A 16,093-nucleotide genomic window follows, 5' to 3' on the forward strand; every position below is an offset into this window, starting at 1 on the left:
CTATGTTGCAGTCTGTAACAGGGAAACGAAATGTGAAGATACAGCTTTTTCCTCCTTCCTAAAGACCCTTCCCAGAAGTTGCACACGTCTCTTCTGCTTCAATGCAAGACTAGAAATTATAGTCTGTAGTATGTAGTAAGAATATTAAAATATTCTTAGTAATAATAAAAATGGATAGATGTTGATGTAACCAACACCTTCTTTTAATAGAGTTTTGAATGTTTATTTTAAATATTTATAAGAATACAACTGAGGAAGCTAAAGGGTAGTTCATTTTTAAGTTATTTTATAGGTTATGTTGCCAGGTATTACATTAATAAAGCATGTAACAAAGCACTAATGACACTTTTTCTTCAAAGTTATTTTCAAATAGAATTTTGAGGAAAAAGACCATTTTTCATTAAGCATGTAAAGACAAATATGTATAAACAATGAATGATATTCAACAAAATATTATGCAAAGACTTGAATAGAAATGAATGAGATGATCTGTTGGTAGTTGAGTATCTCTAGGCAACCTTCTTTTTATACCTCTCCTGCATCATGCCACCTTTTGTATCCCTCCATCAAAAGAAGCTGATTATCTGATTAATGTCCCATAAATTCGAAGTTGTTATTATAAATGACCTGAAATCAGGCAAAAAATATATATAGAGACAAATTATATTAAACATACTAGCAATGAATTATCTTCTGCTATAGTTGAATGTAAGTTTAAGAAAATATTAAAACATTCATAACAGAAAATAAATCTTTAATTCCTCTTGTTTCATAAAACACATTTTAAGTGCTTAAACTTATAATTAAGCATGTACTTTAGCCGCAGAGAAATATTACAACTACTTGATTATAAAAAAACAAAATTGTAGTTGTGTTGCACTTAAATTCTGAAGCTGATTATTTTTATCGGTTACAATCAGCAAATAAGCTCAAAATGTTTTACAGGAGACTGCAGGTTAGTTTCTTCTTTGTCTAAATAAGAAATGTCTCAATGTCGAGGTCAACTTTTAAATACTTGACTATTGGCACTCTCATGAGTCAAGTATGGAGTGAAAGAAGTGAACGGTATCGTTGGTCTGCATTGTGAATATTTAACAATACTTTTATTTCACATTTGATTGCTAATCATATTTTTAGGTTGAAAGTTCAGTTTTAACTCTTTAGCGTAACATAAATTAGGTGAGTTAATATAGATAGAAGATTTAGAGCAGTGTCTGATACAAAACATTAAATAAATATCAGCTTTTCTGTGTGTCTTATAAATGTTGCTCTATAAGTGTTTACGGAATATATTTAGAATATTTCATTTAATTTGTTTCTCATAAAAAGACAGTATATCTGTAATTTTTTTCAATGAATTATTTTCAATATCAGTTTCAATTAGTAGCTTGATATTTGTCTTACAAAAACCCTTCTTGTTTAGTCAATTCAAAGAGTGAAGTCTACTTTATTACCACTCTACTTCAACTTTACTACTGGTGTCTTTTACTTTGCCTTACATACTTATGGAACCACACTAGTAAGTTGTGGGTAATTGCCTGCTTAAAATGTATAAATTAACTTTTCAAAAGTCATCTTTATTTGTGAAGTTCAGGCCAGCATAATCGTTAATTGCAAACTTTGAAGCCGATTGTCTCAGTTGGCCACTCCCTAACAGGTGAACAGTGCTTGTGTTTACAGGGTGTCTAGAGTAGAGTTAACTTACTAATTTTTCCATTTATATCCAACATATGTCAACCATATGCTAATATAATTTCTATAATGGCTATTTTGGGAAAAGAAAATATATAATACAGAATATAAAACTGATTACTTACCAAAATCTCATAATCATCATCACTTTAGAGAAGCGATTGGTTTTTGATTTCCAGTATGCACTCATCTATTACTAACCAAATTTCAGTGAGGACAATTCCAGGCACTGCCTTAATTTTTTTTAATTAAAATCCTCATTTTACTGGATACCAAAGAAAAGGAAATATGTTGATGTGTTTAGAAGCTTTAAACTAAAATACCTACTTAAATGAGTATGTAGAAAAATGTTATAAAAGAGAGCATCTGACTTGAACTACTGCTTCAATCAATAATCAATTTCTGTAATTACTTTAAATCATTAAAACAAGGAAGAAAAGACACAAGCAACTGTATGTATTACACATTTCAAAGCAAGATGTTTAGTAACAGAAAATAACCTTGTAGTACTAAATTCAGATTGATAATTTTTGAAATGCATTTATGAAACTTACAAAATTTAAAATCTTTGTAAGAAAAATAACCATGTAATGAGTATTAAAATTATAGTCATGATATAAGATAGAATATTTCATGCTGAAGGTGGAAATTTTTTTTGTTTTGTTTTGTTTTGCTTTGAGACAGAGTCTCGCTCTGTCTCCCAGGCTGGAGTGCAGTGGCACAATCTTGGCTCACTGCAACCTCCGCCTCTCAGATTGAAGCAATTCTCCTGCCTCAGCCTCCCGAGTAGCTGGGATTACAGGCCTGTGCCACCACGCCCGGCTAATTTTTGTATTTTTAGTAGAAACACGGTTTCACCGTGTTGGCTAGGCTGGTCTCGAACTCATGAACTCAAGTGAATCCACCCACCTCAGCCTCCCAAAGCGCTGGGATTACAGGCATGAGCCGCCGTGCCTGACCTGAAGGTGGAAAAATTACCTTTTGGGTACAATGTTCACTATTCAGGCGATGGGTACGCTAGAAGTCCAAACCCCGATACTATCCAATATATCCATGTAACAAACCTGCACATGTTGCCCATGAATCTATGAAAATAAAAAATAAAAAAAATCTAAGACTATTTTATGCTATTCTTGTGTAGGAGGCAGAATAATAGTCCTAAAAAATACTCACTTCCTAATCCCCCAAAGTGTAAATATGTTACCTTACCTGGGATGAGGGACTTTGTAGATGTGATTAAATTAAGGTTCTTGAATTGGTGAGATTGTCCTGGATTATTCCTGTGGGTTCAGTATAATCACAAGTGTCTTTACACATGTAAATGAGAGACGGGAGAGTCAGAGGAAGACATGTGAGCACCGAAACAGATTGCAGAGATGTGGCTGTGACCTGGGAGCCATGAGCCAAGGAGTGTCGTGCCTTTAAAAGCCGGAAAAGGCAATGACACAGATTCTCTCCTAGAGTCCCCAGAAGGAATGCAGCCCTGCGGACACCCACTTCAAGTCTAGTGAGACCCATTTTGGACTTTTAACCTCCAGAAGTGTAAGATAATAAAGCTGTGTTGTTTTAAGCCAGGGAGTATATGGTAATTTGTTACAGAAGCATTAGGAATCTACGGTCTCTGACACATTTACAGAATTCAAGAAGCCTGAGGTCTAATTTAAGAAATACTATTAATCTTTTCTCTACTCATTTTCTTCAACTGCCAAGTGAGTATTGTAATGCCAGTCTTACATACCTCACATCATTATGTAAAGATAACATTAATGTTTAAAATAACGCATTACTTTTTCTATAGTTTAAATAGCTTGCTCCCATAACGCATTCACTCAACAAGTATTAATGGAGTTCCATCTAGATTCTCTCGACCCTGGGGATAAAGCACTGAACAAACATTCACAACAAACATTCACAACTTCCTGTGATTATGAAATATATATTCTAGTGGTAGGGAAGTGCATAAACAATAAATATGTAGTGTGTCAGATGATGATTAGTGCACTGGAGGAAAAGAAATGATAAAAAGACGTAGAAAATGGGGAGCTTTAATTTAAGCTGGAGTCATTCTGAAAAGTCTCAGTGATGGGGGAATTTGTGTAAAGACCTCAGTGAGGTGAGAGAGTGTGAGTCTCATGTATATTTAGGGGTAGGTGTTCCAGTCTCCTCAAAGGTCTTCTGACTGACATGTGTCTGAACTATGGGGAGGCTAATGTGTGTGGAAGGAAGTTACAGAGGGAGCCTCCCATGGCAGGAGATGAACGCAGAAGATAAGCAGGAGACTAATGGAGTTACAGGAGATAATTATGGGCTTCCTTTGTCTTTGTTAGGACTTCAGTTTTTACTCTGTGAGAGAATGGATGTCCTTGGGGTATTGAGCAGAAGAGTAACATGATTGGAAATAAGTTTTTAAAAGATGCTTTCTAGCTGGTATGGTAAGAAATACCTGAGGTTGGGAGGAGACGAGGTAAAAGAAGATTGCAAAAATGCAGGTCATTGATCTTGACGGCTACGACCAAGGTGGTATTAGTAGAGGTAGTGAGATGTTGTTCAATTCTAAATATAATTTGGAGGTAGAGATTATGCAATTTGCTGATGCATTGGATGTAATATATCAAAGAAGAAAGGAGTCAAGGATGTTATCAAAGCTTCCAGACTGCACAGCTGAATTGAGGGTGTTTTCCCCAGCTCAGATGGGCAAGACTGAAGGAAGGATAGTTGGGAATGAGCAAGTGTTTTGTTTTGGATAAGTTAAGCATGAAATGCCTGTCAGCTATCCAGGTGTGGATGTTTTGATGGCATTTGCGTATGCCAGTCTGGGTTTCATGAATAGAGTCCAGGCTGGAAATAGAAATCCTCCTGCACAAATTATTGCACTTATTAATTACAACTTTGTCAGATTTTCTAAGTAAAATTTAAATGCAGTAGTATCTATAATTTTTACAGCAATTTTATGTCCCACTATTTAAGAGGCTGGAGCCAATATTGCCATAATGTGATATTATGCAATGATACTCAGGTAAATAAACTCTCTGCAAAAAAAAAAAATAATATTAACCTATAATTATTTTTGAAAATCATTCATATTGGATTTTTCGAAAATGCATATTGATTTCAACATTCAGGTAAAGTGAAACAGAAAGTGAAAGACACTCAAGATATGAACTACTTACTTATTGTAATGAGGATGCTGATTTTGCATATTTTTATAATTAAACTATACAAATCATCTCATTATTTAAATACAGATTCCTTCTTAAAATATGAAGTCCACTTTGTTTTATTTACATTATGTGAGGCTCATAAAACACTTTGGAAAACTACTTCTTGAGACACGGCATTAAAGACTAAGTGGCAAAGTAAATAAGGATTATATCCCTATAATTATTCTGGATATATTTTTTAAATCTATCAAAAAAGGGAGGAGGGTCATCATTAATTTTTTTTAATTTGCTTTTAACATATATTGTCTTTTTTTATTATTATACTTTAAGTTCTAGGGTACATGTGCACAATGTGCAGATTTATTACATATGTATACATGTGCCATGTTGGTGTGCTGCACCCATTAACTCATCATTTGAATTAGGTATATCTCCTAATGCTATCCCTCCCCCCTCCCCCCACCCCACGACAGGCCCCGGTGTGTGATGTTCCCCTTCCTGTGTCCGAGTGTTCTCATTGTTCAATTCCCACCTATGAGTGAGAACATGCGGTGTTTGGTTTTTTTGTCCTTGCGATAGGTTGCTTAGAATGACGGTTTCCAAATTCATCCATGTCCCTACAAAGGACATGAACTCAGCCTTTTTTATGGCTGCATAGTATTCCATGGTGTATATGTGCCACATTTTCTTAATCCAGTCTATCATTGATGGACATTTGGGTTGGTTCCAAGTCTTTGCTATTGTGAATAGTGTCACAATAAGCATATGTGTGCATGTGTCTTTATAGCAGCATGATTTATAATCCTTTGGGTATATACCCAGTAATGGGATGGCTGAGTCAAATGGTATTTCTAGTGCTAGATCCCTGAGGAATCACCACACTGTCTTCCACAATGGTTGAACTAGTTTACAGTCCCACCAACAGTGTAAAAGTGTTCCTATTTCTCCACACCCTCTCCAGTACCTGTTGTTTCCTGACTTTTTAATGATCGCCATTCTAACTGGTGTGAGATGGTATCTCATTGTGGTTTTGATTTGCGTTTCTCTGATGGCCAGTGATGATGAGCTTATTGTCTTACAAGAAGAAGAATGAATTTCAGTATGTTTCCTTTGTTACCATAGCTGCTATAATTCACAGAACAAAATTTAATGTGCAACCAAATAGAGAAAGTTTCAAAGAGAAAGAGAAGGCCTGTGGCCTATGGCCCAAAAGTCAAGCTTGAGAGAAAGCTACTGGAAAGTATTGGAGTGAAATACTGAGAGCCAAGCTATAGATATTACCTCTTTAATCTTCTGTTGAAAATCTTCAGTAAAATCTATATTTTTCTCTAGTGATTTGTGGATTCCCTCTCTTTTTTTGGTGGGTGTTGGAGATGTCTTATTGGTGAAGGAGAAAGCAATGAAGTGTTAAGTCTTGCTTCATGGAGCAGAAATAGAGGCTGCTCTTGAAAGACGGGAGATACAAGATTTGTACTTGCGTAAGAGATAATAATAATAATAATATAATTAGGAACATTGCCATGTTGGAAGGTATAAATTGAGAATGAATAGAAAGGGAAATTAACCCTGGTTTCACATGTCATGTTAATTCTGGAGAAAATGATGTCTAAACTAGAGTTAGAATTAGTTTTGATGGAGTTCAGAAAAAGCTGAAGATGTGAAATGTTTCAGGAGAAAGCAATTACATGTGAAAAGACCTAGGGGCAAAAGTTAAAGTAGCAGGTCTAGGAGCCTAGAGTGAGATGGAAGAAGTAGGAACTAGATACCCCGGAGAGGCACTTAAGGATAGTGTTGTAAACAGCCTTGTCAGATTCATAAGGGAGTTGTTCTTTAGCCTGAGAGCAATGAAGAGCCCAGCGAAGCCGATACTTTAATTACAATGTGCAAACTTTTGGCAACAAAATGGAGAATGAAGCAGACAGTCTGTGCTTTCATTAAGTTTAAGTTCCCTGGGTGCAAAAGGCATTGAACTCTTAACCATACAGATAAAATAATAATGCAATGGCAGCCCCACCTCCTTTTGACAGATCTAAAGAATATGTCCAGAGTGACTATGGGGATACCAATCCTCATTTACCTTACAAGTTTGTCTTTAATGCAGAGTCTCAGCAAAGAAGTTTCAGAGAGATTAGATTACAACTCAAAAAGTAAGCTGTAATGCTCTGACAGACAATGAATTGGAATAGCGATGCCTAGTTTCAGGAAGACAGAAGAGGACTACCATACTTTACTGAGCAATTACTGGTGGAATTTCCACATTTCTTAGTCTACTTATATTGTTTAATCATAGTAAGTGCACATTTTTATTCCTTTATTAATCTACTTCACTAATATATTTAAGTACCTACTCATTAGTAGAAACTGAGCTAACTGGAGAGAGAAAATAGTAAGCAAATTCAATCCATGCTTTCATGAAACAAACTCCCTTAGATGCAGATAAAAATTACTATTTTTTATCAATAACATGGAAAAAGTTATACTGCACTATATCTTTATGATATAAAAAAGAATAAAATGACCAATGAAAGCATAATAAAGCATAATTTCATCTATTCTTTTTTTAAAAAAATGCAGGGTCTCACTCTGTAGCTCAGACTGGAATGTAGTGGAATGACCATAGCTGACTGCATCCTTCAACTTCTGGGTTGAAGTGATCCTCCCGCCTCAGCCTCCAGAATAGCTGAGACTGTAGGTGTGCACCACCACACCTGCTTCTAAATTTTTTTAATTTATGAAATTTTAAAAGTACCAAGAGATCTTTTATATCTCAGTAAGGCATAGCTCTGAGTGATAAAATATTAACATATCAATGGAAGTTCCTAACTTTCCAAATATAAGCCTTTTAACTCCAGATAACTGTTAGGTCACTTTTGATAAGGAAGTTGTCTGTTTTCTTATGTAAGTTCACAGTTTTTTTATTTTTTTTTACACTCTTTACTTTTATTTTTTTTAGCCTTTAACTCTCAGGGAAGCAATAGATATACTTTAACACAAACTATAACAATTGTTTATTTTTATACTACAGAAAATGGATAGATGCTATTCTGAATTGTTCTAGTTTGTCACTATATGTTAGATTTTAAAATGTTTCAACATTTTTTTCTAGTTATATTTAAACTTAGATTTTACACTAAAATTTTCAGATATGCTACTAAAATATCAAGAAAACTATAATTAATGGAAATCTTCCATAGGCAGAGAGACATTAATGTTCACAAAATGTTTTTGGTCTCTATATTAGTCACTTTATTTGCAAGAGGGAATCAAAAAGAATGACCTCTGCACGTATATGTAGAAAAACTCTGACCAACAGTCTTTACTTAAATATGGCACCGAATCAGGAAGATGCTTTATTATAGCACCACTTCTCCTTCTCTAAAAGGAAATCAACAGAGAATGGAGGTTCTAAGAGAACATCCCTATCAGTCGGCTGTCCCTTCTTAAATATCAATGTAATATAATTAGAGTTTTTAATTATTATTCTTACATTAGTTTATTTTTAACTCAAATAATTAAATCACTCAAATCGCTGAATAGTGAATAATGATACACATTTATATTTAAGAGGGGATTCATTATCCCAAGATGATGCATTATTTTTAGTTTAAAAATAACTATTTAATTGTATGGAACAATCAGTTAAGTTTTGTCATTTTGGAGGATTCAGAATTTGCATTATTTTCTGAACAGCAGACTGATAGGAATGTTCTCTTAGAACCTCTATTCTCTGTTGATTTTTTCTTTTGGAGAAGGGGGAAGAAGTGCTGTAATAAAACACCTTCCTGATTCAGTGCGATATATAAATAAAGACCGTTGGTCAGAATTTTCCTACATGCATGTGCAGAGGCCAATCATTCTTCTAGGGTTTAAACAATGTTTGAAATACATATTATTGGGCCACAAAACAGGTACTCAATTATGCTGGATTTCAAATTTTTTCTATGTCCAGCAGGTAAAAGCAACTAATTAAAATTATTGAACCTAGTTCTACTGGAGTTAATTTTCATGGGGAAGCACAAAGTCAGAATCAAAAGACCAATTTCTTGCTGCTTCTCAGATAGCTGAATGATCAACAGTAAACAAGTGGAATTTCTAAGATTTATGGTCCTGTATCTACCTCATTCATCTTGGCTCTTATTGTTTTTACTCATGCCTTCCTACATTTTTCTCTTTGTGCCTGGTGTTCTTTGCATGAAATTTATTTTCCAATATAAAGCTGTTAGTCGACATGCTAGTATGATTAGGAAATAGAGTTATATTGCTCCCGTTGTCAGAGACACAGTTGCACTGGAGAGCACCCCATCAATTCATATGATCAGTCAGTTTAAAGCAAATCTGAATAACAACTACGGAGTCCAGTGAAGTACAGAATAATGATGGTTTGCCTTATTTTACTTCTTTCTTATTTGACTTTGTTTTCTTGTTGTTCGAGTGTCTCTTGGATACCAAATTAAAAATACAAAGAAAGTAAGTAATTACTTGGCAGGAAGGAAGTTAAAAAAAGTTGAATATAGGTGTTTTCTCTATATACATACTGTTTATCAGCAAGCTGAATTTGTTTATTTTATCCTCTTACCTATTTCTTTTGACTAATCTGGATTTATTATAGTAACTTATCTCCTTAGATGACTTTAAAGAAATCTCTTTGTGTACTTTACTCAGTGGGGTACTTTGACAAAATGTACCAATTAGGCTTATGTGAGATGTCAAGTGAGAAGAATGAGTAAGAAAAATTGATCTCAAGTGAATGAACACATTTTATTCAGAGTGATTTTAAAATGTGAGCAAAAACACCACAATACATGATAAAATTAACCACCAGCTGAATTTGAATTATGTTCTTTATAGGATGCATCCTGAAACTTCATAGTATTAATGCAAAGGAAACAAAAGCTGTGGAAAATGATATTCAACATTGAACATCAGAAAAAACAATAATAATTTTTTATTTATATTTATCAATATTATTGTTTATTGTATGGACAGGCTTACAGACTGCAGTTGACAGGGGCTAGAGCTAAAATTCAGGGCACCTTCTGGAACTGCAATGGGACAGAGCCAGCATGCCTTTCGGACTGTCTCTCCCATGAGTTACCTACACGGGTCGGGTACGTCTGAGGCTGCAGCAGAGAAGGGTTGAGGCTGAGACAGGGTCCCATCAGGATCTGCTTTATGATGGATGCCAGCAAGCCCGTCCAGTTGGTGCTCATGGGCATATTTCTCAGCATCTCTCTGTGCCATCAGGATTGTTCCCAGGCTGCACTATAAAGAGGCTAGAGTTGAGCTTCAGGACCACTTAATCTGCTGTAGGATAGAGGCTGGTAATCCTGTCATGGTGGCACAGATGGGAGAGTCTCCCAACTGTTTCCTGCACAGGGAAGATTTCTCCCTGTCTGCAGCCAAAAGGAACTGGAGCTGAAACAGGGTCCCTTCAGGATACGCCATGGAATGAAAGCTGGCAAGCATATCCAGGTGACTCAGACAGGTGTCTCTCAACTGGTGGCTATGAGGCAATATTTTAAGACAACCAGTATAATTTTCGGCAAATGCAATCTGGCATTTAAATATATTTATCAACAATTCTGAAAAGACTAAATATGCTGTAATTTCAAGTGCTCATTTAGTTGATGAATCATTAAGAAGTTATATGGATTAAATGTAGACTGTTGATTGATATCATTTATAGTGAGATAGTAGTTGTGGTGATAAACAAAAATATTCTAAAATTCTTATGGAAAATTAAATGTCCAGAAGACTAAAAGGTACTCCGAAAGGGAGAAAAAAATGGGAACTTGCCATAAATCGTAGAAAATATGAAATATAATATATTTATTAATGTACTGATAAATTTTAGTCAATATTATTACATAAATAGAATGTAATAAACCATTTTTTCAATATTGAATTATAACTTTTTAATATTGAAGTACAATGTTTCCACTTGACTGGTAAATAGTCGTTCATTACAAATGTAACCAGTACTACTATATTTGAAAGAGTTATTATTTTTGTTAAAATAAAATAAAGTATAATTACACTCAGGAAGATAAAATATTGTGATTTTAAAAGTCAGAGACTGCCTTTACATGATTAACATGATTAACTATATTTTGTTTTTTTGTTTACATTGGTCAGAATGTTGTGTTATTAATGCCTTTTTGAATGCTAATACCTAACCTCTGAAATTAAAAAAAAAAGCTAAAATATTTCAGATTAAATATGTAGATCCAAGTTATAAACAGCTAAATTCTTACCTAGTATCTGAAAAAGATGAGAAACAATTATTTTTTCCTAATAATAAGACTAACTTTCAGCCAGGCACGGTGGCCCATGCCTATAATCCCAGCACTTTGGGAGGCCAAGGTGGATATATCACCTGAGGTCAGGAGTTCAATACCAGCCTCGCCAACATGGTGAAACCCCGTCTCTACTAAAAATACAAAAATTAGCTGGGCGTGGTGGCACATGCCTGTAATCCCAGCTACTCTGGAGACTGAGGCAAGAGAATTGCTTGAATCTGGGAGATGGAGTTTACAGTGAGCTGAGATCATGCCACTGTACTCCAGCCTGGGCGACAGAGCAAGACTCCGTCTCAAAAAAAAAGAAAGAAAGAAAGAAAGAAACACAAAAAAACTAACGTTTGATTGGATTTCCCCTTATGTATAGAGAACAAAGCAATGATAGTAACTTCATATCATCATAGATCCCACTGTAATACAATAATTTGCTAACAAAGAAACAGTTTCAATGAAGTGTAGTGTTTACAAACTACATTACAGCCTACAAATTATGTAAATGATTGTTACCCTTCTTATTATTTAAATGCATAAAGATTTTTCTTCTTCAAATACTGTCAGCTTCACAGTGAAAATAATTTTTGCTCAGCTGCTCTGACAGTCTTCTAATGGAAATTTTAAGTGGACCACGTCTATCTGCTGCATGATCTATGAATAAACTAAATATAGGTCTTTAAAGAGCCTTGTGGCGTTGATTGCTTTGACACATCCTGCATTTGCTCACTCTCCATTGTTTAATTTTTCACTAAGAAGAGAAGAAACAAGTACTCTGTCCTTGAATAGAATTAGCTATAGAGAACAGAGTGAGAATATACTTGAGATGACAGAAACTAAACAAATGCTTTGTAGCAGCCATAAAGGACTTGAGAAATAAGGTCTTTAAAAGAGTAAAATTCAATGTGCCTGTACCTTAAAAGATAATTTCAAAACCGTATATAAGAGAAATATTTAACACTTTCAACCTATCAGAAATTTTAAATGTATTTGTTCTTTGGAAAAATATTTAGTGTGGCCAGGTACGGTGGCTCATTCCTGTAATCCCAGCATATTGGGAGGCCTAAGCAATTGGATCACCTGAGGTCATGAGCTCAAGACCAGCCCGGCCAACATGGTGAAAGTCCATTCCTACTAAAAATACAAAAAAAATTAGCCGGGCTTAGTGGCAGGTACCTGTAATCCCAGCTACTCGGGAGGCTGAGGCAAGAGAACCGCTTGAACCTGGGAGTCAGAGGTTTCAGTGAGCCGAGACCATGCCATTGCACTCCAGCCTAGGCAACAAGAGCAAAACCCTGTCTCAAAAAAGGAAAAAAAAAAAAAAAGGTAAGGAAAAAAAAGAAAAATATTTAGTGAGGCCTCCAACATGCCAGATAGTAGTCTAGGAGTTGCTATTAAGGTGGTAATAGGACAGAAAAGCACTCTAATTTCTGGAGGTGATTTCTCCAGGGGCTTGTACGGCAATAGGTTTTTCAAGAAGGTGTTTGTGGAAAACTAATATCTGGGAAAGAAGAAACATAAATAGATAAGTAAGCAATCAGTATTCAAGAAGCTAACATTTGAATCTTATAAGAAAATGGAGAGGTTTTAATATGAACTAGGTATTGATTATGCTATATGTATTGAGGGGTGGAAACTGGATTAGATTAACTGCCCTTATCAGTGGCAAGTATAAAGTTTGCAAAAGAATAAATCTTATGTTTACAATCCTCCTGAGCAAAAGCAGTTAAAGTGTATAAGATTAAATTATGTTGATAGCTATCAGAATAATATGCTATATTTAAGTAAGTCCTTGAAGGCAATAGCTATATTTATCATATCTTTACTATGTAAAATATGTAATGTAAAAATTGTCAAACAAAAAACTGCATGTCCATAACAAAGAAAAGTATGCTTATGAGTTCCACAATTGTTACTGATTAACCTTAATAAAGAAACAAACGAACAAACAAACTCAAATAAAAGAAGCTATTGACCAAGGAGAGCAAGAACAATTTCTCACATGTAGACAGACATTCATTACTTCTAATAATGCTTTATCTACACTTCAGAAGTATTTGGATAATAATTTTACTGTATTTTCGCAGCCATAGGATAGAGGTAGGTGTCTGACTGTGCATGTATTTGTGTATGTGTATATATGTAATTTCTATCACTGTTGACCTCTAAAATTAAAGGGCAGAGTTCAAGAGAAAGAATTAATTATTTTTTGAGAAAAATGGAAGCTGGTTCATTGCTGTTTCTTATATGGAAAATAATAAAGAAAGCATAAATGGCTAATGAAAAATGAATACTATTTACATCAGAAATAGCAACTAATCAGTTTAGGGTGATGGCTTACAATATTGCTGATTATGTAAATGTGGAAAATCAATGACCTAGTGAAAAATTTAAATATAAAAACGGAGTCAATAAGAGGAAAAAAAGAGGTATATAATTTGTGGAAATATTTCATAAGGAAATGGACATTTCTGAAATGTGGACTCTGTGATGAGAGAAAGAATATTTGATATTATTGGACAATTTATCTGTTTTCAAAAATTGCTCACAAAGCACTTTTCAATTGAGTTGTTCACTAAGGCTGCAACTATTTAACAAATAAATTAATGGGTTAATAAGTGACCCCTACGTAATGATTTCTCAGAAATTATTTTCTTTCTTTCTCTTTTTTTTTAGACAGAGTTTCTCTCTGTCACCCAGGCTGGAGTGCAGTGGCACAATCTCGGCTCACTGCAACCTCCACCTCCCGGGTTCAAGTGATTCTCCTGTCTCAGCCTCCTGAGTAGCTGGGACTACAGGCACGCACCGCCACGCCCAGCTAATTTTTTGTATTTTTAGTAGAGACAGGGTTTCACCATGTTGGCCAGGATGGTCTCGATCTCCTGACCTCGTGATCCACCCACCTCGGCCTCTGAAAGTGCTGGGATTACAGGTGTGAGTCACCTCACCCAGCCAGAAATAATTATTTTCAATGCTATTCTCAACAATTACCTAAAAGCTATTATTTATTTTGATTCAATTAGCCAAATCATATTCCTCTATTTCACCTAGGATTTATATAAAAGTTAAGTGTTTGTAAGAATTAAAGAATATCATGAACAGGTCATTATTTGAAGAAGGATTTCTTCATTAAAATTGATTACCTTTAAAAACAAAATTATTGTAAGGTTAGAAATTCTAATCAAACAACTCATTGCACGTTTATAATGAGAAGCTAAGCTTATCTAATTTATCACATAGTATACATATATGTACATACAGTTATATTTATGCGTGCTTATGCATATATTATATATAAATAAATAATGTATATATTATTTCATTCAGGCTGCAATAACAAAATACCATATATTGGGTAATCTGTAAACAATAGAGATGTATTTCTCACAATTCTGGAGGCTAGTAATCCAAGATCAACGTAGCAACAAATTTGATATGGGGTGAGGACCCATTTCCTTGTTCATATGTTCTCACGGGACAAACAAGCTCACTTGTGCCTATTTTATAAGGACACTAATTGCATTATGAAGGCCCACCCTCATGACCTAATCACATGTAAAAAGGCCCTGATACCTGATACCTTCACCTTGGGGGCTAGGACTACAATGTATGAATTTAGGAGGTATATAAACATCCCAATCACAGCACATGAATACTCACAGACGTACACACACATTATTATAAACGCAGATATATATATATATATATATCTTATTTATTACATCAACTGTACTTTAACACATGTGCTTTTCATGTAGAATATATTGTGCTTTCTCTAAAGGAGTTTTAAAAAAGGGTGATAAATTAAAGTACCAAGTTTGAAGAAAAGGAAAGATAAGAAATAGGCCATAGACTATAAACTCCTTTTCATTCATTATGCTTCATAAATTATTTAATTGTATATTTGGAATATATGAAAGGACATTTTAAATTTTGTGTAGTGCATGAAGTAAAAATAAAAATGAGAAATACCTGCATACCCCACTATTTAAAATAATTACAATATTACAAGCATTTTAGAGAAACCTGTGGCTTCTTCCAGATCCAATTACCTTCTCTTCCTCACATAGGCATAATGAATGTTCTATTTTAAAAAGTTTATCTTTCTTGTACTTTCATCTGCAGTTTTTCTTCCTTTTGGATTTTTATGAATAGAATTAAACTGCACGGTGTTTTGACTTGCCTGCATTCTCAACTTTATGTTCCTGAGAATCATCTATGTGGTCATATAAACTGTAGATCATTCATTTTTCATGGATGAAATTCATTTTATGAACAAGCTACAATTTAATTTCTTGCTAATTTTGATGGGCATGTGGGTGGTTTCCAGTGTGGAGGGGTTACAAATAATGCTACTCTGAGGCTTTTTGCATATGTGTCTTGATGCAGATATGCAAGAAGATATCTAGGAATGAAATTGTTTGCTTCGAGTCTAAAGAGAAAAAGTAGAACCAATTTTGAGCATTTAAACCACAGGGAGTAAAATGCAGAAAATGTTTTACATGTATAAGAAGCTACCAGAGGGCAGTGAAGCCAGAAGAGGATAACAAAGCAGGAAGCCCCTGCTACCCTTTGGAAAAGTGACAGATGGGAAGACGGGTTTCCAGATGCTTGGTGCTGGTTACTGTTTGCTGAAGCAGGAATGAATTCTGCCCTGTCTTCCCCTTGAAATGTTTTCCTCTGTTTCCCATGGATGTAACTGAGCAGGAAAGCATCTGACTTTGGGACACGGGATGCACTGTTTTTAAGTAACAAACTCCATATGATACAGAGTAGAGCAGCAAAAGGGTGAGGAATAAATCAGATGAAAAATAGGCTTAGTACCAGCAAGTGTTGAGGTAGTTGTATTATTTCAAATACTTGTCTAAAATGGTTTTACTATTTAAATTTCCACAAATAGTGTAAAAGCATTTGTTTTTAGTTCATATGCACAGTAATATTTAAAAATGT

Source organism: Homo sapiens, chromosome 21 (genome assembly GCF_000001405.40).
Source record: "Homo sapiens chromosome 21, GRCh38.p14 Primary Assembly".
In the NCBI taxonomy this organism is placed as follows: Eukaryota; Metazoa; Chordata; class Mammalia; order Primates; family Hominidae; genus Homo; species Homo sapiens.